Source organism: Homo sapiens, chromosome 2 (genome assembly GCF_000001405.40).
Source record: "Homo sapiens chromosome 2, GRCh38.p14 Primary Assembly".
Lineage (NCBI taxonomy): Eukaryota > Metazoa > Chordata > Mammalia > Primates > Hominidae > Homo > Homo sapiens.
Window position 1 is genome coordinate 162,303,472 of NC_000002.12, and position 26,286 is coordinate 162,329,757.

General features: G+C 39.7%; 2 protein-coding genes across 10 annotated transcripts in view, besides 4 other annotated features; one reads left to right on the forward strand and one right to left on the reverse strand.

Annotated features, from left to right (window-relative positions):
• The window catches only part of IFIH1 (interferon induced with helicase C domain 1), a 51,611-nt gene extending 36,398 nt beyond the window's left edge, over window positions 1–15,213 (reverse strand). Inside the window, exons 1-3 of one of the 2 annotated variants that reach the window (NM_022168.4) lie at window positions 14,384–15,213; window positions 7,294–7,462; window positions 3,238–3,384 (exon numbers count right to left, since the gene is read on the reverse strand). In NM_022168.4, coding sequence (NP_071451.2) covers window positions 3,238–3,384; window positions 7,294–7,462; window positions 14,384–14,836 — 769 coding nt within the window. In that variant the 5' untranslated portion in view covers window positions 14,837–15,213. Of the gene's footprint in view, window positions 1–3,237; window positions 3,385–5,435; window positions 7,113–7,293; window positions 7,463–14,383 lie in introns of those variants that run through there. The other variant, XM_047445407.1, reaches the window with a different exon arrangement.
• Window positions 15,008–15,097: a silencer, noted in NCBI's record as "silent region_12062". NCBI's record gives its function as "represses an Ori minimal core promoter by ATAC-STARR-seq in GM12878 lymphoblastoid cells {active_cell/tissue: GM12878}" and the evidence as "EXISTENCE:reporter gene assay evidence [ECO:0000049][PMID:35858748]".
• Window positions 15,128–15,677: an enhancer, noted in NCBI's record as "active region_16717". NCBI's record gives its function as "activates an Ori minimal core promoter by ATAC-STARR-seq in GM12878 lymphoblastoid cells {active_cell/tissue: GM12878}" and the evidence as "EXISTENCE:reporter gene assay evidence [ECO:0000049][PMID:35858748]".
• Window positions 15,128–16,445: a biological region, named in NCBI's record as "MED14-independent group 3 enhancer GRCh37_chr2:163175227-163176426".
• Window positions 15,246–16,445: an enhancer, noted in NCBI's record as "MED14-independent group 3 enhancer chr2:163175227-163176426 (GRCh37/hg19 assembly coordinates)". NCBI's record gives its function as "activates an origin of replication core promoter dependent on BRD2, BRD4, P300/CBP and CDK7 cofactors, and independent of MED14, by STARR-seq in HCT116 cells {active_cell/tissue: HCT116}" and the evidence as "EXISTENCE:reporter gene assay evidence [ECO:0000049][PMID:35650434]".
• Window positions 15,292–26,286, forward strand: part of GCA (grancalcin) — a 56,634-nt gene continuing 45,639 nt past the window's right edge. For 2 of the 8 annotated variants that reach the window (XM_006712400.5, NM_001330265.1), the window contains exons 1-2: window positions 15,292–15,712; window positions 15,811–15,924. In XM_006712400.5, the coding sequence (XP_006712463.1) occupies window positions 15,853–15,924 (72 nt within the window). In that variant the 5' untranslated portion in view covers window positions 15,292–15,712; window positions 15,811–15,852. Of the gene's footprint in view, window positions 15,769–15,810; window positions 15,925–26,286 lie in introns of all 8 variants that reach the window. The other 6 variants (XM_047443881.1, NM_001330267.1, XM_006712398.5 and 3 more) reach the window with 4 other exon arrangements.

Consider the following 26,286-nt stretch of genomic DNA (forward strand, 5'->3'; position numbering starts at 1 on the left):
TAGGCTCCATGGCCATGAAGCCATTTCTGTTATGTTCCTGAGTTCACAGTATACAACAAGGTGCCTGGCACATGATAGGAGTTTGGAAAATAGTTGTTAAATGAAAGAAGTGAAAGGAAGAGAGGGAAGGAAGTTAGGGTGAAAGGAAGGGAAGGGAAGGAGGGAGATAGAGAGGAAGGAACCCAAGAGGAAAAAAAAAAATAAAAAGCTTTTCTGTCCCCTAATATCATTATTAAAATTTTTTTCACAAGATACATCTTTAAGTTTTATACTAAGAAGTAAAAATTTAAAAAAATTTAAAACTTTGCCTTTAATTTTGTTCACTAGAAGTTCAGAGCAGATTAACTACAAGCTAATGCAATGCATTAGTCTGGTAATCTTTGATGATAAACCCTCATTTAAGATGCAGGGTCATCTCTCAGCAGTAGCTCCATCTTCCCTTCTTTCTAGTGTGGATTTACAGAAAATGGCCAGTAACTCATAGAGATGTCGAGTAGCTTGTAAAGGACATTTATTAAAACATGAAAACTCCACACTCAGATAGTGAATTTTGGCATTCCTATAGAATCATGATTTCTAAAGGAAGGTGCAGCTGCTCAAATGAAAAACAACAACAACAACAAAAAAAACTATCCTGTATAAGCTTTGCTATTAGCAGCAGCAGCAGCACCAGAGTTTATGAGAAAGGTGGAATCGCATTACATTAAAAAACAAACAGCAGCTCAAGCCTATAATCCCAGCACTTTGGGAGGCCAAGGCAGGAGGATTCCTTGAGCCCAGGAGTTTCCAGACAAGTCTTGACAACATGGTGAAACCCCATTCTCTAAAAAAAATACAAAAATTAGCTGGGTATGGTGGCGCACGCCCGTGATGCCAGCTACTTGGGAGACTGAGGTGGGAGGATCACTTGCGCCTGGGAGGTCAAGGCTGCAGTGAGCTGTGTTTGTGCCACTGTACTCCAGCCTGGGCGACAGAGAGACAGAGCAAGACCCTGTCCCCGCCTGCCCCCAGAACCCCCAAAAAAAGAAAAAGAGAAAAATCCACAAACAGGCTAAAAAGCAAGCCAACTGTGAAAAAAATTGGTACTATTTATGACAATGAATTGATATCTTATATACTTAGATAGTTCATATAAGTCAGCAAAAAGAAGATGAATACCCTAATAGAAAAGTGAATTTTAAAAGTATTGATAATTAACAAAACAAAGAGAATGAATTTGTGAAATTCTTTTTCAGCAGAAATATGAAAATGTAAATTCAAATAACGAAATACCATTTTTAATAGCAGCCAAATTGAAAAGATTGAACATGATAATATTATTCATTCTCGTAGAAGAGAATTCAGGGAAATAAGCACTCATATCCCATACTCTTGGAGAACATGTAAATTGGTACAAGTTCCTGGAGTGAGATTTGACATTAAGTATCAAATGTGTTAAAATAGTATAAATCATTTGACCCAGAAATTCCAATTATATAATATGTTTTTAAAAAGCAAACTGTGACATAAGTACAAAGAGAGCTATCGAGGCATTATTTAAATGTTCAACAATTGGTCAATTAATCATACTGCATCCAAATGGTGGGACCATTATTTAGTCATTAAAAACCAGGCTGTAGAAGAATATTTAATGAACATAAGAGAAATGACACTATATATACACATTCAGGTATGTAAAAAGCCCAGAAGCACACATACCCAAATGTTAAGTGTAATATCCACATTCTGGGAATATTGGTGACTTCTTTGTGTGTTTCTGTGTATTACAGATTTCTTGCAATGCATGCATATTACTTATCTAAGTACAAAATAACAAGGCCAGGCGGAGTGGCTCATGCCTGTAATCCCAGCACTTTGGGAGGCCGAGTGGGGGGGATCACCTGAGGTCAGGAGTTCAAGACAATCCTGGCCAACATGGTGAAACCCTGTCTCTACTAAAAATACAAAAATTAGCCGGGCATGGTGGTGGGTGCCTGTAATCCCAGCTACTTGGGAGGCTGAGGCAGGAGAATCACTTGAACCCGGGAGGTGAAGGATGCAGTGAGCCAAGAGCATGCCACTGCACTCCAGCCTGTGTGACTGAGTGAGATTCCATCTCCAAAAATAAAATAAAATAAAATAAAATGAAATTAAAAAAATAAAAATAATAAACTTTGCAGTGGTGTGCTAGAGTTAGTTTATATGGGCTCACAGGAGCTAACTGGTAACTTTTCAGGAATTTTCTGAGTTTTTAACCACAGCCATTACAAAAATTAAATTGTATAAACTTACCATAAAAGAAATTATTTTCAGGCAAAGGTTGTAAGTATTTAAAACTCATCACCTAATCATTTAACTATCATCTTTGATCTGGAGGCTATCTCCGTCTTTTGCATCTGTACGGTGGGAATGCTGTATAAAGATGTGCCACTGCACAGCTCTTCCCAGCTTTGTGTTCAGTGATCTTATGTTGGAAGCTTGAAATAAGCCTGAATGAGAATATTTAAACCACAGAGACTAGCAAATGCTACAAACTAGGGCTTTTTCTTTTCCCCAGAGTTACTTGTTACATTCACCAGCACACCACAGGCTTTAAGCAACTATTTCTTGTGAAAACAGAATAAGTCCTTTTGGCAGAGAAGGGGAGAGGTGGATTCTCCTATCACGAGCAGATTAGAAAGGGAAAAAATAATTAAATAATTTGTTTCTGCCAGGGCTGTTTCAGTATCAAAAAGGTGGACATGGTAGTCTTCAGTCCTCACCGATTAGTTAATGCAATTCAAGCCAACCCTAGTTCAGCATCTGTTCATCTTCCTTTTTATAGCTTTGATTTTAATTTTTACGACACAGTTGAACCTCTCTGAGCCATCCCAGTTTAAACCAGAGAAAAAAAGCAATGAATCTATTTTATTTTCAGGGTTTTGGGTGAATTAAATTGACTGATCTATTTATAAGTACTTTGAAAACCAGGAAATATAAGGCATTCTTATACTTATCTTACAATGACTATGGATTTCTTATAAATTAAAATTAGATGCAATTGTGTTCATATTTATAACACATCGATATTGGATTAGTTTTAGAAAGCATTTTGGCCAAGAATTATTTTAATTTAATCTCCTCTAAAAATATTATTTTAATATAAATGTTTACTAACCTTAATGCCCACATTTTCTCCCTCTGATTAATAGGTTCTGCCCAGTTGGTTTTTCTGGAAGTAGTAATTACTGTATTAAAGTACGTATGTGTTTCAAGTACCTGAAACTACAGAAGAATCTGCAAAAGATGATTCTGATGAGTTATTCTCCATGCCCCAGACCTCCTTCTCCAGATTTGGCTGAACTGTGGTTGAAAGAAGTTGCTCTTCCACTTGAGGACCATCAACTTGTGATAAATTCTCAATCTCTGTGAATAACAGTATTAGAATGCAAATCATAGTGCCATACAAGTTTTTGTAGAGCATACATAACTGTTATTGTTATTTTGAAAACAAACTAGAGGTTCCTAATAGAGATTGCCTGAATATATTTAAATACTTTGAAGTTCTGAATAGAATGTAAATTGTATTGCAATGCAAGATTTTATACAATATAAATAGCTGTTATTGTTATTTTGAAAACAAAATGGAGAGCCCGCAATAGAGATTGCTTTAATATATTTTAATATGTTGACATTTCGAAAGGCTTAGAATGTGCTTTTGTTATGGCAAGGTACTTTTAATTTTAATATGGACACAACGAGTAGTTCTTTGTAATGATTAGACTGTAGCTAAAAAAACAATATAAGCATTATGCTAATCACAAGAAAAGTGATTTCCTGTCTGACCGTCATGTTTAGGAAGTAAGTCACTTATTCAGTGACACAAAGTTACATTTAAGGCTGAATTAATGAAAATGCAAATTTGGTAGTTTTCTTTAGCTTTGCTCTTGCCATTTTGTTTCCTCACTGTGTGTTCTGCACGAGACGTACATCTGCTTTAATGTCAGCCTATATTCATGTATTCTGAATTTCTGGGGATTTTTAAAACATTTAATGAAATATTTTGTGCCCCTCTTTTCTTCTTTCCTCCATTCCTCACTTCCAGCTTTTCTTACTTCAACTACATGTAATGGGTATTTTATTAAGGGCTTATGTGGGTTAAAAAGAAAATCAAGAGTTTTTGCCTTTATGAAGCTGCAATCTGTCAGAGAAGACTGATGCCATAAGGAAAATTTTCTAACGTATCATTTTTTATTATCTCATCTTAAAGAACCCAGTGAAAATGTGCCCCACTTTGTATGGAAAATTTCCTAAAGAAAACTGTTGTGACTTTGGACAAGAAGAAAACTTGGCAATGTTTGCAGTTAGATATTAAGTACATTAGGGACTATTATAATAGTTAATTTATTTTGCACTCACAATATAAATACTTTACATACATTAAGTTATTTAAGTCTCAAAATAAACCTAGATGGTAAGTAATATTATTGTCTCCATTTTACTGAGGTGATAAGTAATATTATTATCTCCATTTTACTGAGGAGTAAACTGAGGCATAGAGAAGTCGAGAACCTGGCCAAAGGTCACACATTCAAGGAAGGAGCCTGGATTTGATAAGCATCAGGATCCGATATGTATCAGGACCCAGAGTCTAAGCTCCTACAGTAGTCTGTTTATGCTGCCATAATAAAACACCATCAACTGAGTGGCTGAAACAACAGACACTTCTTTTCTCACAGTTCTGGGCACTGGAAGTCCAAGATCAAGGTGACAGCAGGGTCAATGTCTGATGAGGACTCTCTCCTTGATTTGCAGATGGCCACGTTCTCCCTGCGTCCTCACACGGTTAAGAGAGAGAAAGAGACAGATGTTTCTCTTTTTCTCTTTCTTCCTCTTCTTAAAAGGCCACAATTCTATCAGATTAAGGCCCCATTCTTATGATTCATTTAATCTTTTTTTTTTTTTTTTGAGACGGAGTCTTGCTCTGACACCCAGGCCAGAGTGCAGTGGCATGATCTCGGCTCACTGCAACCTCAGCCTCCTGGTTCAAGTGATTCTTCTGCCTCAGCCTTCCAAGTAGCTGGGATTATAGCTGCATGCCACCACCCCAGCTAATTTTTGTATTCTTAGTAGAGATGCGGTTTCGCCATGTTGGCCAGGCTGGTCTCAAACTCCTGACCTCAGGTGATCCACCCGTCTTGGCCTCCCAAAGTGCTGGGATTACAGGCGTGAGCCACCACGCTTGGCCTGGCTCATTTAATCTTAACTATCTCCTACTATCACTGTCTCCAGATAGAGTCATATTAGGTTCCAACATATGAGTATTAGGAGGACAAAATTCCATCTGTAGCATTTTACCATTGGCTTCCCAAAATTCATATCTTTACTACATACAAAATACATTCATCTCATCTCATCAGCCCAAGTGCCTTAACTCACTGAAGCATGAACTCTAAGTCTAAAGTCAAAAGTCTCACCTAAACATTGTCCAAATCAGACGTAGATGAGACTAGAGGTGTGATTCATGATAAGGCAAATTCATCACCAGCTGTGAACTTGTGAAACCAGTTGAGCTACATGTTTCTTTTCCATAATACAATGGTGGGACAGGCATAGGATGGACGTCTTATTCCAAAAAGGAGATATAGGAAAGAAAGCAAGGGTGATGGGTCCCAAGCAAATCCAAAACTTATTAAGGTAAATTCTGTCACATCTTAAGGCTTATAAGGCTTGAGAATAGCTCTGTTTGGTTTGATGCTCTGCCTTCCAGGTCCACGGAATGGCAGGTTCTAGGGCTCTGCAAGACAGCCTGCTCTCTCTAAGGGCTCCATCCACACAGCTTTCTGTGAGGATAGCTCTGCTTCTGAGACACTAGGCAGGGTCATCCTGAGGGCTCACTAAAACCAGAGAGACAGTTTTGCCCTTTGAAACCAAAAAGGAAACTGCCTTGGCCTCTGGGTCTGTGGTGGAAGTGGCAACCCTGATGACTTCTGTATCACTTTTGGGGGCATTCTTTCCTTTCCCTGAAGAATAGTACACATTCACAGCCAAATAGCTCTATGGTCTGGTTCTGTAGAATCCAGAAAGTCCAGTATCCTTTTCTCATTCTGTCCTGCTTTCTCTGTCTCCTTCAGTTCAAACTGGAAGTGTATTTGCTGGTATAATATATCTCTACTCCTACCTTCTGCTGAAATGGCTGATTAAGTCCATCAGTAGCACCCATGATCTTGTTATCAATTGGTTGTTCTCTTTATAACACAATTTCTCATTTTTTGCCATATGGATAGGCTGAGAATTTTCCAGATATTTAAATTTTGGTTCCTTTTTGCATAACAACTCCTTCAATTAATTTCTCTTCTTTTGCATTTTACTATAAGCAGTTAGGGGAAATCAAGCTGCTCCTTCAGCATTTTGCTAAGAAATTTTCTCAGCCAAATATCCAAATCCATTACTTGTGAGATCAAGTTTTATCCCATTTTATAACAAGGATCACCTTTCTTCCAGTTTCCAATGACATTTTTCTCATTTCTCTCTGTGACCTCACCAGAATCACCCTGAACACCCATATTTCTACCATTCACCCAAAACTCTTACAGTCTCTATCAATTACCCAGTTCCAAAGCCACTTCCACACGTTTAGGTGTTTGTTACAGCAGCACCCCACTTTTTACAGCAAAGTTTTCATTAGTTAGGGTCACCAGAACAAAACTGCAATGATTATAATTAATTAATAGTTAACTTTCAATTTGTCTTTCATATGATATTTTTGGAAACATAGGATGCATACTACGAAAAGAAAAATAAGATAGCAGTTTAAGTGAGATTTACAAATAATGTAGGAGAAGGAGCTATAAAATGTTATGTTATTACTATTATTGAATGCTGTTTAAAATCTCACATTAGGTAAGGTTGAGATATATTGACAAAACAATCCTTTTATCAAATGCTTAATACATTGCTTAAAATGTATAAAAATGTTCAGAAGAATATGCAGCAGATTTTTTATAACCACTAAAATACTTTCTTCCAATGTATTTGTGTATATTTAATGTTACATAATCTTGATAAAATTTCTGGTAGTCATATTGTTTTTAAAATAAGGTAGTAGAAAGAGTGTTGGTTGGATGAAAAATGGTCTTTGATCAGTTGATATTTTCCCAGGCATCAATTTCCTCATTTGTTAAGGTGATAAAATAGATGATCTATCACATATGTTCCACTCTTAAAATTTTGATTCTAAAAATCTTGGTGTTTAGCATTGTGTCTTTCTGCTTTATTGAATTCTCAATCACTAGGCAGAATTTGAAGAATCTTCCTCAGTAAAATTACAAATACCTGCATTGCTTTCTGAGCAATCAGAGCCTGTTAACTCTTGGACAAGTTCATTGTTTCCTGTTTGACGAAGAACATTCAGAAATGCAGAGAACCAGTTTTCTTTCTGCACAATCCTTTTTAGTAGCTCTCTTACACCTGATTCATTTCCATTGTTTTCTGCAGCAGCAATCTGTTGTAAGAGAAAATTAGAATTAAGTAAGATCAAACATCTTCTGAATAACCTTAAACAGGAAATACCCTTTAGAAAAACTGAGCAATTAAGCATAAGTATAAATAAAGGCTTACATTGAAACATTGAAGAAAATAGCAATGTTACCTGTAGCAATTCTGAAGTCGGCAGGGAAAAAAATCTCCGGGACAACAACAACAACAACAACAAAAATCTCTGGACCAAGTGTCCTTTTAAATATGAACCATTTTTTTTAAAAGCTATTGAATTATTCAAACCTGACACCTAGAAAATAAATTTTACCTCAGCCATTCCTGAATAAAGGATAGAAGAGAAAGTATCTTTAGTCTGCAGCCATGTTATGTCTATTTTCACCAATTTCTTTCTGTATATCTAGGGCTGGCTATATTTTTTCAATCTATGGAGTCTGTAAATGGGAAATCAAACATTTCTTATCTCCTTTCTTCATGATTATCATTATGAAATAAGTAATTACTACTGCAGATTTATATTTTTTCCTATGTAATATTTGCATAGTTGATTATTACTATAATCAATTTTTCTCAAATTTGTGTTTTTTTAATGTTATGGGAAATTTATTGTTATATCTTTTTTTTGGAAATATGGGGCAGAATTATTTTTATATCCATTCATTAGAGTCTTTAGCCTTCTTTTATTTTCTCTTTTAGATTAGTAAATTTCTTTTAAATGTGGATCTTTTGTGTAATCATTGTCACAGTGCATTTCCCTAGGTCCTAATATAGCAATAAGGATTTGGAGGAAAGAGTAACTCAAGCCATGTTTAGACATGAAAGAAGTTAGGCAGGACATCATTAGCTTTCTGTGGCATTAGGCAATTTACTTCATCTCCCTAGACCTTGGTTACAATATGTGGTTACAAGGCAGCTGAAAAGAAATTTCAGAGTTTCTATATCTTAGCTGCATGTTAGAAACAACCGTAAAGCCTTAAAAAATACTGATGTCTAGGAAACACCCCTAAAAGATTATGATTTATTTTGTCTATGTTAGGAACTCAGATATTAAAGAAAAAGTAAAACATCTCATGTGATTCTATCAGCCTCCCAGATAAGAAATATTGACTTTGATATTATCAAAGGTCCTTCTCAACATTTGCCAATCTTCCACATGTATCATTTGGATTGTTTAGTTCTTTCCTACAAATTTATGTATTTTCTAGTTCTATAAATATATTCCATAACCTTTTATGTCAGAAATTTGTTAACATTTTTGGAACAATGTCTGGCACTAATTCAGTGTTAGAACTATTATGGATGATTGGGAAGAGTTATTGTTACAAACACCTCACCTGCACAAGCACATACAGCATGGTCTCTACCCAAGGGATATTTCCGTCTTAGCATCTAGTAGTTAAGCATGCTGTTCTAGGGAACTTGAATATATTAACCCAGCAGCCCAGAAATAGGTACCAATATTAACTCATTTACAGATCAGAAATCCGAGGCACAGAGATGTTTAGGTACCTCTCTGAGGTCACAAAGTGAGTAAGTGGCAGAAGTAGAATTTGATCCCAGGCAGTTGAATTTAGAGGCTGAATCCTGCCTTCTTGAACTATAATTATAGCTTATAATTTTCTCCAATTTTAAATTCATTTTCTGGCAAGAAGTGGTTAAAAATAACTATTTGAACTCAGTAAATTTCAAGTGAATTCAGTCCATGTCACCCACAACATTTTCTAAGCAGATTTTTGCTCATTTTTTACCATTTTTTTCTAGCTCTCTTAGTCTCCTAATGGAAATTCTTTGGCTTCCCTGATGTTGTAACATCTTTATTATCATCTGCTAATTTAACAAGTAATTGCTATAGATGTAAATAAGACTGGTTTCAGTGTCTTCTTTTAACTCAGCCATTCTCATATTTTATTACCCCATCCTTTAATCAGCTTTAAATATATTTGACTGAAGCAATCAGGAAGGATTTCCTTAAAAAGAACCAGTGAGGCAACAAATGCTGTTATTAAAAATCCCTAAGCATATTCTATCCACAAAATTTTCTTCAACCACTATTCTATTAAGTCAACTTTTACTGTGGAATCATATTTTTCAAGCTTTCTTTGCCGTTATTGAGTCCAAGCATATAAGGATCATGATGTCATTATTTCCTAAACATATTCTTACAATTTGAATGTGGAACTACATATATCTGTGCAATTTTAGCAGCCTCATCAAGATGCTGAATTTTTAAGAAATCTTCTCAGTTTTGGTGCTGGAAAGTACATCAGCTCCCTTTGAAGCAATTATATAATTTTAAAAATTTAATATGTTCTCCTAAAACATTGTAAAGATATTGATCCCAATATGTAAACACAATTACAGAAATTCGTGGGAGGTGAATATTTACATTTGAGACTGCAACAAGTCATAAAACAATTCTCACCCATGCCCCTCCCCCACTCGAAGTTTTCTCTGTGAAGTTAAAAATGGATGGATGTTTTCACTATGTAGTCTATTAATACATTGTTAACTAATTTATGAAATACGAAATAAAATTAATTTGGTAATAATACAACTCAATGCTTTCATATTCTAAATTCTTTGATATGTTTTTTCTTTCCAACAGAAATCAGTGAAGAAACCAATGACATTTCCATAAAGCACTGGCTTACCAACACAATTGTACAGTTTAATGAAAATGTTTTCTTCCCTTTATAATAACCTTAGATAGCTATTTAAATATAATGGTGATTTTTTTAACCCAGCAGAGTTCAACTCTCAGATAAAAGTAAATCAGGAGGCAAAACCTGTATGTTAAAAAAGAATTTTAAAGAACCAGTTTCCCACAAAAAGTTAATGTCTTAACCCAATGAATATTTATTGTCACATTGACATAGCTAATTTCTTATTCATACTTTTTTTTTTGCAGATGAAATTCTTATCTTTCCTAATTTGCCAGACAATACAATGTTCCTGGGGAGATTGACTTGGGTGCTCAACTTCATGTTGGGAGAACTGGACTGTTCTTAGGTGGACTAGTCATGGCATCTCTGGTTCTTCTGTGTAAATGGAAGGTGTGTGGAGTCTCCAGGACTACAGATGCATTGTGTTCTGAACTGGCCAGGGATGAAACATGCATCTCTCTTTAGCTGTTCAGCTTGATTATTAAGACACTATGGAAATGTTTATATGATCACTTTCGTTCCCAGAGTTCATGACTGCCTAAATTGATGGGTGTGCCAAGTTGTAACTTAGTTATAACTAAGATGTAACAATGCCAAATTGTAACTTAGCATCCTAAAAGAGGAGCAAGGCAGTACAGGGGTACCCCCTTACCATTAAGGATTGCTTTATTATAATGATTGATAAAATGGCATATATTTATTGCTGAAACTCTAGTATTTAGAATAGTCCCTTGTATACAGTAGACATTCTTCTTTCCTTCCTTCCTTTCTTCCTTCCTTCCCTCCCTCCCTCCCTCCCTCCCTCCCTCCTTTCTTTCTTTCTTTCTTTTCTTTCTTTCTTTCTTTCTTTCTTTCTTTCTTTCTTTCTTTCTTTCTTTCTTTCTTTCTTTCTTTCTTTTTCTTTCTCTCTTTCTTATTAGATGGAGTCTCGCTCTGTCACCAGGGTGGAGTGCAGTGGCGCCATCTCAGCTCACTGCAAGCTCCGCCTCCCAGGTTCATGCCATTCTCCTGCCTCAGCCTCCCGAGTAACTGGGACTACAGGCTCCCACCACCACACCCAGCTAATTTTTTTGTATTTTTAGTAGAGACGGAGTTTTACCGTGTTAGCCAGGATGGTCTCCATCTCCTGACCTCGAGAGCCACCCTCCTCGGCCTCCCAAAGTGCTGGGATTACAGGCGTAAGCCACCATGACTGGCCTACAGTAGACATTCTTTTATCAACACTAATTAACACTACAACACAACTTCACGAAAGGACAAAACAGTCTCTGTGTTTTTCTCCTATCTTTTCACCACTAGCATGGCATCCGGCACAAAGATGCCACTCAATAAATTCAAACTGAATGAATGAGTGAATGAATGAATAAGTTTTTGGGTACTTGCTGGACACAAACCTATGTATAAAGTCATTTTCAGAAGGCCTGCTGTAATTACGGGCAGGGGCTAGGAAATGGGGTGGGAATCCTAAATTAAAATAATAGATCAAGTAGAAAATGTCTATGGGGAAACAGAAAAAGAATGAAAATACAAGACCATTTTATAGAAGTCTTGATTACTTAGTTAAATGCTATTTTAAGCCTTCAAAAAAGCAAATTTGGAAATCTTATTTTCATCATTCATCCATTCTCTAACGCCTGGCAACACAATTCAATACGTCATGTGTTTTCAACGCTTATTCCAGACACTTTCAGAAATAAATTCAATTAGTCTATCAATCAAGTAATCAATGCTTACTAAACACCAACCCTCTACCTAATCCTAGTTAGGTTCTGGGATGAAAGAGGTAATTTCTTTTTCAAATCAGTATAATCTAGGGACTTTAAGAAGTATATCTCAATTGCGACATGGGGAATTTACCTCAATCTCTCAAACTTAAATTTACACAGAAATGTAACCAGATGAATGGTTACAAAAGTCAACACCATTATCATATCAAATAGCTCTGATTTATAAGCTTTTTCATAAACACTATTTCTGATTTGATGTTGACTAAAATACTGTGAGAAATTTTATGATGTCCATTTTCACAGGTAAATGTAGCATCAGGGAACTTCAGTAATTTGGCCCAAAGTAACGCATATAGTAAGAAGCCAAGATGGACCTCAAATCCATGTGTTCCCCTTCTACAGTCTTATCACACTTTGCTGCTGTAAGATAAACATTTGTCAATGACCACCACCTCAATATAGATTATTCTACCAAACTTAATGCTTCCGTCTCATTGTCCACCATATCTTAGTTTTGGAACTGATAATACATGTAAATGATGCACACAAAAATTATTCCACACTCTCACAGAGAAACTATTGCTTCCTAGAGAGCCTCAAATTTATAGCTGCTCAGTCTTTTGGGGCCTCCTTTGAAATGTGAATCAGAGGGAGAATTTGGGTTGTTTTGGCCTTAACTGCTACCAGTACACAAAAGTCCCGTTACTCTATATCTTCTTTGTGTCAAATCCCTTGCATTACTGCTAGCTGCCTCCAAGCTTGCCAGAATCAAGAACTTGGATAAAATCTAGCTGGCGGAAATTCAATCCAGGCAAGACAAAAGTGATGCTGATAGGCAGAAGTATTTAGAGTAAATAGGGAGAAGTGCTGTTTCGCTGGCAATCGGGACATCATACCCACCAAACATAAACAGCTTTGTGGTGTTACTGGACTCTGTTGCTTCTGGACTTCTAACAGCTACTGTGGCTGGAAATGCCATCTTCCATCTCCAGCTGGCTTGAAGGCTGCATACTTTCTTCCAAATTAAGATTCTGCCACAGTGATGTACACATTTGTCATATCCAGCTGGACTACTATAATGCGTTCTAGCTGGTTCTCAATACACAAAACGACATAAACATTACAGACAACAGTGCAAAGTAATTTACTTGTTGGGAAAACTGGCCATCAAAATTAGATGCATGTTTGGGTCTTTGGACAGGCCCTGTGTCTGTCAAGTCTACAAAAGATCACTAACTTTATTCACTAAAGACTAAATTGCATCATAGGCTATAGCAAATCAATCAAATGCCCAGAAGTTTGTATGAATATACAAACAATGGATGACCCAAAAGAGAGAGAGAGAAAAAAACCATGTGAAAATCATAGAGTGGTGTAGACAAAGCCTTTGACTTTTAGTCATGGCTTTATTTGTCTACATGTCTTCCAAAACAAGACTTTTGACTTACGAGCCTGAATAAGTCACATTCAAACAGGTCAGCATTTATACACATCACAGTACATCTTCACTTATCAAAAAATAATTCATATCACATTCAATGTAAAGTCATCAGTAAAATTCGCCCTGTCAAAATGCTACCTTAAGAAAAATGAGTTTCTTCACTAACATGAAAAACTGAAACTAGCAACACATTCTTTCAATGAATTGTTTCTAAATTTTGATTCTCAAAGAATGTTGAAACTTTGATTAAAGAAAAAGGGTGTGTGTGTGTGTGTGTGTGTGTGTGTGTGTGTGATTGCAATTTACCCATTTGGGCTAAGACTAAATGGCACAAAGTGTAATGTAGGGCAAAGATTGGAAAACTTTTTCTCTAAAATGCCAGATAATAAATATTTTTGGCTTTAAGGGCACACAGTCTCCATCCAATTGCCTTTGGAGTAGAAAAGCAGCCACAAGCAATATGTAAACAAACGAGCATGACTGTGTTCCAATAAAACTTTATGAACACTGAAAATTAAAAATTGAAAAATCTGAAGACCATTCTTAGCCTGTGGGCCTGAAAAAAACAGTAGCAGGCTTGATTTAGCCCATGGGCCGTAGTTTACTAACCCCTGCTCCATGGAACTACATTAAATAAGAAAAACATTCAACACTATCACAAGCTAAATTCTTAGCTCTGCCACTGTTTTTCCTGGGAGACCTTGGACAAATTATTTAACCTGCCTCAGGTTTCTCATCTGTAAAATGGAGTTAATAACATTAGGAGCCTCAGTGGGTTACTCTGAACATGAACTGTAGTAATACATTTTGAAAATGATACCAACTGCACATAGTAAGTGTTCAATAAAAGTTACCTGTTAATACACATTACGATTCTAGAGTTAACTCCTTTTTACTTCAGTGAAAACATTAGAAAAGTAGTTCTTTTGTGTTTAAATTTTTAAAATTGTCTTAAAGTGCCTAGATGTTGTCTTCTCAAAGGAAGAAACTAGATTTGCCCAAAGAGGTCAAGCACATTTGGAAAGGGGCAAACGCACAAGGAAGCCTGCTTTGCAAAATCTGCCTAAAAGGCTAGCTCCATCTGAACAGACACCTACCCGGTTTCTGTCTTCAATTGTCAACAGTTCCTCCTCCATGCACTTATCCAAGACGTCTCTAACTAGAAGCTTGTCCACCAGAGTGGGCTGAAGGAGGTTCAGCAGTTGGAGATATTCATCATGAGCGTTCTCAAACGATGGAGAGGGCAAGTCCGTGAGCTCAGGGTTCATGTAGCGGGCGGCCAGAGGGCTGCCGGTTCTCCGGAGGGCCTCCACGAATTCCCGAGTCCAACCAAGGTGCCAGACTCCCTTCTCCAAGGTGCTCAGCAGCAGTTCAACTGCCTGCATGTTCCCGGAGGTGGCGACTGTCCTCTGAATCTGCTCCTTCACCTCTGCAGGCAGAAAGGTCAGGTAGTCCAGCACAGGCTCCACCTGGATGTACATTTTCACCCTGGCCCTGAAGCACGAGATGAGATAGCGGAAATTCTCGTCTGTGGAATACCCATTCGACATCTTTCTTTCTCAGAGAAGGGAGAGGGTTCTCCCAAGCAGATGGTGCTGTTGTCTGCGGGACAGGTGAAATGTGCGTGCCGCTGTCCGCTGCCCACTTAGAGAAGCAGGGTCTACCGCTCTGTGCCTGACAATGACGAGGTTGTCCACAGGGCTCTCAGGCCGGCGCGCGGGGCTGCACTCGCACCTGGGCAGGTGGGCAGGCGGGCAGGTGGGCAGCGGGGCGGCGCGCGGGGCCGCGGCAGGCAGGTGCGGCCGGCAGGCGCGGCACTTTGGACTCTGCGGTGTGCGCCTGGGGTCCCGGACCGGGGCGATCCTGCTGCACACTCGGGTAGGAGCTTTGAGTCCAGCTTTCTGTCAGGCAGTTCTTACAGAGTTTGCCTGACTTTGGTTTCTGTTTCGATTCTCTTCTCAGGACTTTGTAAACGTAATCTGCCTGGCGGGGAGGGAGTTTCCTCAGGGAGACGCCACCTTTTGGTCGGGGCGGGTGAAGAGAGGAGGCCTTTGGTTAAGGACACCGCGGGAAACAGAAAAGGAAAGCGAATTCTCTCTGACACCAAGACCAACGCTCTAGCAAAGCTCCTCCGGCGGATATTTTGTTTTCCCAGCAGGTTCTGCCTTAACAATAAGGTCCTTTGTAGGCCAAAATGTGCAGGGCATAAAAGCATGTGATTTGGGACTTTCCAAAGGGGAAGTGAACAGAAACTGCCACAGACCCGGACGTGAACAGGGAGTTACCCTCGGCTGGTGAATGTAGGCAGGCCTGGCTGAGGGTGGTGAGACTGCGAGGGACAGGTGAGAGATGAAGCTCAGAAGACATCTTTGCAGAGATGTGGAGAAGACAGGAGGAAGTCCTTCCTAAAATAAACCTGACCTCCTGTGGGTTCCCAAACACTAACTTGTTTCCCTGGGAATTTGGAGGTGGGTTCGAAAAAGTGAGTAACAATAAACAGTTAACTTTACTGCCTCATATTTAGATTGCTGGTATTTATGCAGCTTTGACCAGGACCTGGTAACAGATGTGGATGGACTTGAACCACCAACTCAGCTTAGAAGGAAGCCAAGACTTAAAGTTTCCTAGATCCCAGCTTGTAAGTTCCCTATATTCTTTAATATACAACTTTCCTTTAATAAAACAAAACAAAAAAATCCCCCAACAACTTATTTTTGATATAGCTGCCATTCTTTTCTTGGATTCAATACAGCAAGTTTTGGCTGGAGCAGCTAGGAACTTAATTAGCAACTAATGTACCAACTTGTAGTAAACATCAACATTTGTCTATGTCATGAGAGAAAAAAAACATATTCACACTGAAAAATGGCAGCTTCATTTTGGTACAGAAGCCACATAAATGTGAGTCCTTAAGGTTACTACTCATTCTGAAGGCATTCTGTAGCCACATGTGACTGTGGGTGGTAGGCACATACGCACCATAACTAGAATCTCATGGTCCAGAATTATATAAAGGATGGAGAGATCATTTAGGTTATCAAAGAGACATATTTAGGAAAAATAATCTGTTAGCAAAGTACATTCAATAAAGTCTGTGTAGGCCAGGAAAACCTGATAGTGCTTTGAACAGGATAATAGAAGTACAGAGTCTTGGTGAGTGTTTACTAGGGGCATACAAAATATCCAAATGAGCACTTTATGGTAACATGTCTTATTTTATTCTCTAATTATCTTATGTAGCAAGGCTTTTTCTACCCCTGAAGGATTGTAAGCTGCTTGAAGAAGGGATATATTTACATAGTAACTAGTACACTACTCACAACTGGTGGGCTCTTGATGACATCTCTCCTGGGAGTTGTATTTGAGTTGACCATAGCAGCTGGCATAATGTTAAATACACTGAAAGTTGAAGTAAATGAAACCTTGGGCTTGCAGGTAGGCCTGATTTATACTGTTCTTTTCTGTTTCTTCACAGAACCCTACTCCTTTTTCACTTAATTTTGGGAGATGACCTTGTACCCAGATAGAGGATAATCCAATTAGATGTTTCTACAAAAGCACTCAAATTATTAATTTTAAGTATTGGGTCTATGAAAATATCTTTTAAGGCTGTTGCAAAAACATACTCCTATCCCCCAGCTGCCAGTGGGTTTTATTCAACATGTTAAAGCACAAACTAACAAACCAAAAAACATTCTTTTTCCTGGCACTTATCCTTCTGTTTCTTGGTTTCAAACATGGGGGAATGAGAAGGGGTTGCTGACTGAATATGGGGAACCAGTTAATGTTATTTTCTTCATACCACTTAATTGTTGCTCTGGAAGAGAAAGGATCAAATGTTTGGTATTTGACCTGTTCTCAAATAATAAACATTTAAACCAAAGATATTTAAATATTTGGCATTCAAATTATATCATTCATTGTATCATCTAGTCATTTAAAATATGTTTATTAAGTATCTATTACATGACCAGCACTGATCTAGGTGCAGTTAATAAAATTAACAAAGCTCCTACTTTTATGGAGTTCACATTCTAATGGGAGTGGGAAGATAGATGGTAAGTAATGACTAAAAAATATGCAATGTGCAGGTGAGGATAAATGCCCTGAAGACCATAGTAAATCTACATAATAATGTATATTACAGTTTCACAGGTTGATTTCCCAAATAGTCATCCTCCTCTAACCCTATTAGCATCACATAATACCCAACAATAACAATTCATATTTTCTCACAAGTAGGAGTCTCTCTGCTGGATGAGGTCTGAGTGATGAGGATTAGGTGTGGGTGGAAGGGACTTCTTTTTTAGGAATCTCCCATAGTCTTGATGGGACCCTTTTTGGAGAAAGGAGGTTAAGGAAACAAAAGCCAAGACACAATCTCTCACAATGTATCCTTTTTTCATCTATATTTTTTGCATCATGATTTAGTTTATTTTCTGTTTTTCACTTGAGTAATTAATTGTTTTCCTCTGTCAAGTTTCTTCTACTAGGTTTCATTTTAATCCTTTTCACCAGTTCCCAAATGTAAGTTTCTTTTTCCTTTCTCTTTTGAGGCAGGAGATCCTGCTGAACTATGTATTTTCCCATTGTTATGCAACTTTTCATTTGAGTTTTTAAGAAGTAGTAACAATATGAGCTGCCACTACAATTTAACGACCATGCATAGCAATAATGTCTTTTTCAAAGAAAATGACAATAATTTTAGTTTAGTGAGAAACCCTGGAATTGTTGTTCTGTTCCTTTACTTGTTTGCTCATTTGTATCAATAATGAGCCTGCTTTGTGTAATTTAAAGTGTTAGATGCTCTTAACCTGGCAGTGTGGGGTATGGTTAAGCACAGAGACTCTGAGTTCAGGCTGTCTGAGTTCACATCTCAATACTATTTCTTAATTGCTGTGCTTTGAAAAATCACCTCAAATACATCAGTTGTAAAATGGAAAGATTCTGGTATCATGTCAGAAGTTTGTTCTAAGGATAGACTGTAACACACTAGCACCAGCCTGGCATGTTTATGTGCCCAATATGTGACTCCAGCCCACTACGCTTATATAAAAATTAAAGAAGAGATGGTGCGGTGCTAGTCTTCAAAGAATGCACAATTTATAAAGGAAAAATTTAGTTACATATATATATATATATATATATATATATATATATATATATATATATATATACACACATACATATAAACACTATATAATAGCTAGCCATTTAACTGAGACTTTAAGCAAGACTTTCAGCCATTTAACTGAAACTGATAGGCTGATTTAGCAGGAAAGTTTATTAAAAGGATACTGTCGTAGCTTTTTATTTCAAAAATAGTAGTAAGCCTAAAATAGAAAAAAAATTATGGCTAAGTTCACTAAATCTTGATAATAATTTCCTAATCACTTTCACCAATTCAATTAAAATTCTGGTTTTTAAGTTTTCACATATAAAAACTTTTCTACATAGCAGTTTTGGCAAAAAATGAAAGTCACGTATCAATAGATAAGTTTTGGAACATTCATTTTTCAAGTACTCCTTCCATAGCTTAAAGTCTTTTCAAAAACAGTTACCTGCAAATGTTTTTGTGAAAAACAGTACTTTTACCTCAAAGGCTAGATTGTAATTGTTTTATTTTACTTTATTTATTTATTTATTTATTTATTTATTTATTATTATACTTTAAGTTTTAGGGTACATGTGCACAATGTGCAGGTTGGTTACATATGTATACATGTGTCATGCTGGTGCGCTGCACCCACTAACTCGTCATCTAGCATTAGGTATATCTACCAATGCTATCCCTCCCCCCTCCCCCCACCCCACAACAGTCCCCAGAGTGTGATGTTCTCCTTCCTGTGTCCATGTGTTCGCATTGTTCAATTCCCACCTATGAGTGAGAATATGCGGTGTTTGGTTTTTTGTTCTTGCGATAGTTTACTGAGAATGATGATTTCCAATTTCATCCATGTCCCTACAAAGGACATGAACTCATCATTTTTTATGGCTGCATAGTATTCCATGGTGTATGTGTGCCACATTTTCTTAATCCAGTCTATCACTGTTGGACATTTGGGTTGGTTCCAAGTCTTTGCTATTGTGAATAATGCCACAATAAACATACATGTGCATGTGTCTTTATAGCAGCAAGATTTATAGTCCTTTGAGTATATACCCAGTAATGGGATGGCTGGGTCAAATGGTATTTCTAGTTCTAGATCCCTGAGGAATCACCACACTGACTTCCACAATGGTTGAACTAGTTTACAGTCCCACCAACAGTGCAAAAGTGTTCCTATTTCTCCACATCCTCTCCATCACCTGTTGTTTCCTGACTTTTTAATGATTGCCATTCTAACTGGTGTGAGATGGTATCTCATTGTGGTTTTGATTTGCATTTCTCTGATGGCCAGTGATGGTGAGCATTTTTTCATGTGTTTTTTGGCTGCATAAATGTCTTCTTTTGACAAGTGTCTGTTCATGTCCTTCACCCACTTTTTGATGGGGTTGTTTGTTTTTTTCTTGTAAATTTGTTTGAGTTCATTGTAGATTCTGGATATTAGCCCTTTGTCGGATGAGTAGGTTGCGAAAATTTTCTCCCATTTTGTAGGTTGCCTGTTCACTCTAATGGTAGTTTCTTTTGCTGTGCAGAAGCTCTTTAGTTTAATTAGATACCGTTTGTCAATTTTGGCTTTTGTTGCCATTGCTTTTGGTGTTTTAGACATGAAGTCCTTGCCCATGCGTATGTCCTGAATGGTAATGCCTAGGTTTTCTTCTAGGGTTTTTATGGTTTTAGGTCTAACGTTTAAGTCTTTAATCCATCTTGAATTGATTTTTGTATAAGGTGTAAGGAAGGAACCCAGTTTCAGCTTTCTACATATGGCTAGCCAGTTTTCCCAGCACCATTTATTAAATAGGGAATACTTTCCCCATTGCTTGTTTTTCTCAGGTTTGTCAAAGATCAGATAGTTGTAGATATGTGGCATTATTTCTGAGGGCTCTGTTCTGTTCCATTGATCTATATCTCTGTTTTGGTACCAGTACCATGCTGTTTTGGTTACTGTAGCCTTGTAGTATTGTTTGAAGTCAGGTAGGGTGATGCCTCCAGCTTTGTTCTTTTGGCTTAGGATTGACTTGGCGATGCGGGCTCTTTTTTGGTTCCATATGAACTTTAAAGTAGTTTTTTCCAATTCTGTGAAGAAAGTCATTGGTAGCTTGATGGGGATGGCATTGAATCTGTAAATTACCTTGGGCAGTATGGGGGTGTGGCTCGCTTCTTCAGTGCCCCACTGCTCAAACCTCTAGGGGAGCCTGCAGATGGGCAGGCTGTGGGGCTCCGACCCACGGCAGTGTCTAGGGGTGGATGTTTACAGCTTCTGAAGCCTCAGTGGGCGTGTGTTACAGGGTGATCTTTTAGTTTTGCTGTCTATAGGTGGCTTGTGTTAACAAGCTCAGTTAGACCCTCTACATTGTCTCAAGGACAGAGGGCTTTCTGTATCCCAGGTTCTTGACTTGGTATACTGGAAGAATCGGATCACACCTGGGCTTGGAGAATGAGTGCAAGCTTTATATTGAGTGGAGGTAGCTCAGGGGAAGTCAGAAGGGGATGGAGTGGAAAGGTTTTCCCCTGGAATCAGGCCACTCAGCGGCCTGGGCTCCCCTCAACTGCCCCAGCCAAACTCTGCGACGTTCTACTTCTGCCAGATGGTGGCCTGCCAGTGTGCTGGTGCCTTTTGGTGTGTTCCTCTCAACCTTCAGCCTCCTATGTGTTTTTCTACTGATGTGCTCCCCTTGAGTCCAGCTGCCTCTGTGTCTGCCTGCTGGGGTCTTGGAGGTTTTTATAGGTACAGGATGGGGGCATGGCAGGCTACGGTGGTCTTGGGAAATGCAACATTTGGCAGGAAATGCCTGTCCTCACCTAGGTCTGTGAGGGTAAAGCCCTAGCTAGGGATCACACCCTCCTCTACCCAGCACTTCCCTTTCCCCTTTCTGTATCATTTACAGGGACCACGCTCTTCCCTTCTCAGCACTTCCATATCATTTATCCCCTCTGAAGAGGTACAACTAACTGCTGTTAGAATATGGACGATGACCGGTTTTAACTGCTTCCTGCTGACAGGGGGCATTGTTTTGGTAAAAATGGCACAGACTCCTCCCAGAGGTTTATCTAAGGGTTCCTGGCAAAGGAGAGCCATCGTCCGAGGCTCCGATTGCCTGACCATTTGGAGTTTGATGGCTTCTAGGCATGGGAGAAAAAAAAAACAAGTTCTATAAGGTTAAGTATGCATGGGTTAAATGTGTATTACACAAAGAAAGAATTTGGTGCCAAAGACTACAGAGATAAGAAATGAAATATACTAACAACAACAACATTGTACCCTGACCTGTTTCAGCCTGGTGAAAGAAATTAAACCTCTTATGGGAGCAGTTAAACTTTAGAAGGGAGGTAACTGTTGTTGCCATATCCTTAGCAATTAACAGGTGCACCCTGGGAATTCTGGGGTTTGTGAGCTTGCCTGGTGGCCACTAAAGCTTCTGTCTCTTTCCTGTGTTTTCTCTCTCCTTCCTGGGCTTCCCTGTCTCTATTATAAAAGACCAAGGTGTCCATTTTCAGGAGGTCCTCTAACATACTGTCTGCTCCTGGGGCCCATTTCTGCAACTTCCTCCTGATATCAGGAGCTGACTGAGTAATAAATTTATCCATTAGGATTAGTTGCCCCTTGACTGAATCAGGAGATAGAGAGGTGTGTTTTATCAAGGCCTCTCCAGGAAGGCAGTGGGATTTTCATCAAATTCCTGTCCTACACAAGCCCTCCATTATGCACACCTGAAAGTGTTTCCTCTTCCAGTTTCCCATGTCATCACTGGGATCCCATTTAGGGTCATCCATTGGTACTGCTTCTCTTCCGGTTGGATAATGTTTGCCCCCTTCCCTGACACTATATGTGATACAAAACTCATCCCCAAATCTGTCTGCACTTGCTGAACGGCGTGTTTCTCAGTGTCTGTCAGGGTCTGATTCAAAAGTAATATAACATCTCTCCAGGAGAGTTCAAATATTTAGGTGAAATTCTGGAAAGCCTCTATATATCTATCAGGGTCATCTGAAAACTTGCCAAGGTCCCCCTTCATTTGCGTTAAGTCCTGTAGGGAGACGGGGACCTGGACCTTACTGGGCCCAAATTCACTTGGCATCTATTGGAGAGGCAAGAGTAAGACGGGTTTGTTTAGGGTGAGGATTTCTAGGAGGGGGCAAGTGAGAGGCTGAAACTGGATGGGGAGGTCGGGGTGGACCCAGAGGAGCAGGGCTTGAGGGAGTTGGCTCCTCTGCTGGGTGTGCCTCTGAGACTTGTGTCTTTAGTTTGCTGGGCTTGCCCCTTGCAGCCTTCCCTGAGACAGGAAACAGAAGGGTTGGATCAATCCTACATTGTCAGCAAAGGTCTGGATTGCCTTACAAGGTATAGAAAGCTTGCACATATGGGACCTCAGACCATCTGTCCTCAAGTCTACAGAAAAGTTCCAATTGCCAGATGGTATTGAAATGAATGGTCCCTTCCAGAGGCCAAGCCAGTCCTTCCTGTAAATCATAATTTGGCCAAACTTTTGTGCAGAGGGCTACAAGGCATTTTTCCTCCAGATTCTGAGGGTCAAAGTAGTCCCAATGGTTCAGCATACACTCCAGAGGAGTATAAGCTGAGGGTGGTGAAGAGAACTAGTTGCCCATTCTGAAAGACAGGGAATAGAGGCATCCCTCATTTCCCTTCTTTCTTTTTTCTTTTCTTTTTTTTTGAGATGGAATCTTGTTCTGTCACCCAGGCTGGAGTGCAATGGCACGATCTTGGTTCACTGTAGTCTCCGCCTCCTGGGTTCCAGCAATTTTCCTGCCTCCACCTCCCAAGTAGCTGGGACTACAGGCAAGCCCCACCATGCCCAACTAATTTTTTGTATTTTTAGTAGACATGAGGTTTCACCATGTTGGCCAGGCTGGTCTCAAACTCCTGACCTCAGGTGATCTGCCTGCCTTGGCCTCCCAAAGTGCTGGGATTACAGGCATGAGCCACCACACCTGGCCTTCCTTTCCTTCTTTCCACAAAAAACTCAGGGTATGATGGAGAGAGAAAGCAAGCGTCCTCCCTCCACTCTCCACCCCTTATCCCTGAGCCCCAGAGACCTTGGCAGGTGCCAGCCATAGGTAAAAATGAGGTATGTACCCATGAGGTAGGGAAAACCTGGAGAATGGGAATTAACTGCCCTCACCTATGCCTCCCTTTCTCCTTGCTATTGGCAAACTTTGAGTTCCCTGGGCCTGTTTATTCCAGGAACCATGGCCTCCTTCTGTGGGGTGGCAGGAATTGGTTCTGCCCAATTGGTCGGCAGGAATTGGTTCTGCCCATTTACACTGTGCCTGTCACCTGGCTTTGGATTCCTTAGGCCCAGTTTTTCTTTCTGGGGCCTCAGTCTGAAGCTTAAATCGAGTTTGGGACCAAAAAGGTATGTTAGTGGCTATTTGTATCTGTTTAGAGTATCTCAAACGTGCCTTGCTGAATTTGCAGTTATCAGCCAGCAGGGGTCGCTCCTCTGTTAACTTCCCTATCAGAAACATTGTGGGGGGCAGGGGGAGCCCTCTCACTTGGTAAAAAACAGAAAAAACAGTAAAAGGGGCAAAAAAGGGGGGATGCTAGGAGAAGAACCTCTCACTTAGTGCAAGTGGGCCCTTTTAATCCTTATAATTATCTTTCCCATCCTTCCCCTAGTTCAGACCAGGTTGAATTCCCTGGCCAGGGGAGGTTCTGTTGACATATTAAGCAAGAAGCACCCTGTAGGGTCCTGGATATTGCCTGTTTGCTCCTGCTCCCCCTATTGGCTTTTGGGGTCAGCCTTTGGCTGCTGCAGGCACGCCTAGGCAGCTGAGCTGAGAGGGGAAAGGGTAAGGAGAGATTCCCTGAGCCATGCATGCCTGTGGCTGTCGAGGTGGAGGCATACCTGGCACCTCCAGGAACAGTTGGTCTGATTTGCACCTTTGGTGGCTGGGCCAAATACTCATTTTACTTAGTAACATTGACGCAGCCTGTAGCAAAACACTTAACATTATAAAGAGATTAGAGCCATTTCAAACTGCGCGAGAGAAAAAGTGACAAAAAGACAACAGAGGCTTGCTGGGCATGGTGGCTCCACCTGTAATTCCAATGAGAGGGGACCGCGTGCTGGCAGTCCTCACAGCCCTCGCTGGCTCTTGGCGCCTCGTCTGCCTGGGCTCCCACTTTGGCGGCACTTGAGGAGCCCTTTAGCCCGTCGCTGCACTGTGGGAGCCCCTTTCTGGGCTGGCCAAGGCCGGAGCTGTCTCCCTCAGCTTGCAAGGAGGTGTGGAGGGAGTCCGGACACACCAGTACTTTGGTAGGCCGAGGTGAGTGGATCACCTGAAGTCAGGAGTTCGAGATCAGCCTGGCCAACATGGTGAAACCCTGTTTCTACCAAAAAAAAAAAAAAAAAAAAAAAATTAGCCGAGAATGGTGGCATGTGCCTGTAATCACAGCTACTCGGGAGGCTGAGGCAGGAGAATTGCTTGAACCTGGTAGGTGGAGGTTGTAGTGAGCAAGATTGTGCCACTGCACTCCAGCCTGGGTGACAGAGCAAGATCCTGTCTCAAAAAAGAAAAGAAAACAGAGCCTCTTACTCATAGGAAAGAGAGAGAGATGGCAGGGTTTTGGAAGAAAGGCAAACCTGACAGCATTCACTCACACTCACCTTCTAAGATCCCGGGTGAGCCCCCAGTTGAGACAGGAAAAGTTGCCCCACTGCTCAAACCTCTAGGGGAGCATACACACGGGCAGGCTGTGGGGCTCCGACCTCATGGCGGTGTCTAGGGCTGAATATTTACAGCTCCTGAAGCCTCGGTGGGAGTGTATTACAGGGTACTCTTTTAGTTTTGCTTTTAGTTTTGCTATCTATAGATGGCTTGTGTTAACCAGCTCAATTAAACCCTCTACCTTGTTGCAAGGACAGAGGGCTTTCTGTATCTTGCGTTCTTGCCTTGGTGTACTGGAAAAATCGGAATCAATCACATCTGGGCTTGGAGAATGAGTGCAAGGTTTTATTGAGTGGAGGTGGCTTGGAGGAAGTCAGAAGGGAATTGAATGGGAAGGTTTACCCCTGGAGTTGGGCCTCTCAGTGGCCTGGGCTCTCCACTGACTATCCCAGCCAAACTCCGCATCATTCTGCTTCTGCTGGTCAGTGGCCTGGCAGCATTCTGGTGCCTGTCAGTGCATTCCTCTCCACATCCAGCCGCCTGTGTATTCTTCTGCTGATGTTCTCCTCTTGATGTCCAGCTCCTTCTATGTCTGCCTGCTACGGTCTCGGGGGTTTTTTTATAGGCACAGGATGGGGGCGTGGCAGGCCAGTGTGGTCTTGGGAAATGCAACATTTGGGCAGGAAATGCCTGTCCTCACCTAGGTCCATGGGGATGGAGCCCTAGCTAGGGATCATGCCCTCCTCTACTTAACACTTTCCTATCATTTAAAGGGACCAGATTCTTCCCTTCCCAGCACTTCTATATCTATATTATAATTGAAAAAGTCTTAAAGTAAGAGAGTAGGAAGGCTGTAGAATTAATTATTGAAATATTGAGATAAATTGAATCAAACTTTTGAGCTGCTAAATCACGAAGGGTTAAACTAAGATTTTAAAATATAAGCATTATCAACTACAAATTTTTTTATTATCAGTGCACTGAGTTATATAAATTACATTTTAAAATCTTAATTAGCTCATCTCATTCCTTTTTAGTTTTTGTTGTATTTTATGATAAATTATTATAGTTGTACATGTGAAGATTTTCTAAATGAATACCCATATATTTACTGGGGTCCATCTTCAAATATTTTTAATGATAGGGATCAAAATTTTTTATTTTTATTTTATTATAATAATAATAATTATTGTTATTTTTAACTTTTAAGTTCAGGGGTACATGTGCAGGTTTATTACATAGGTAAACTTGTGTCATGGGGGTTTG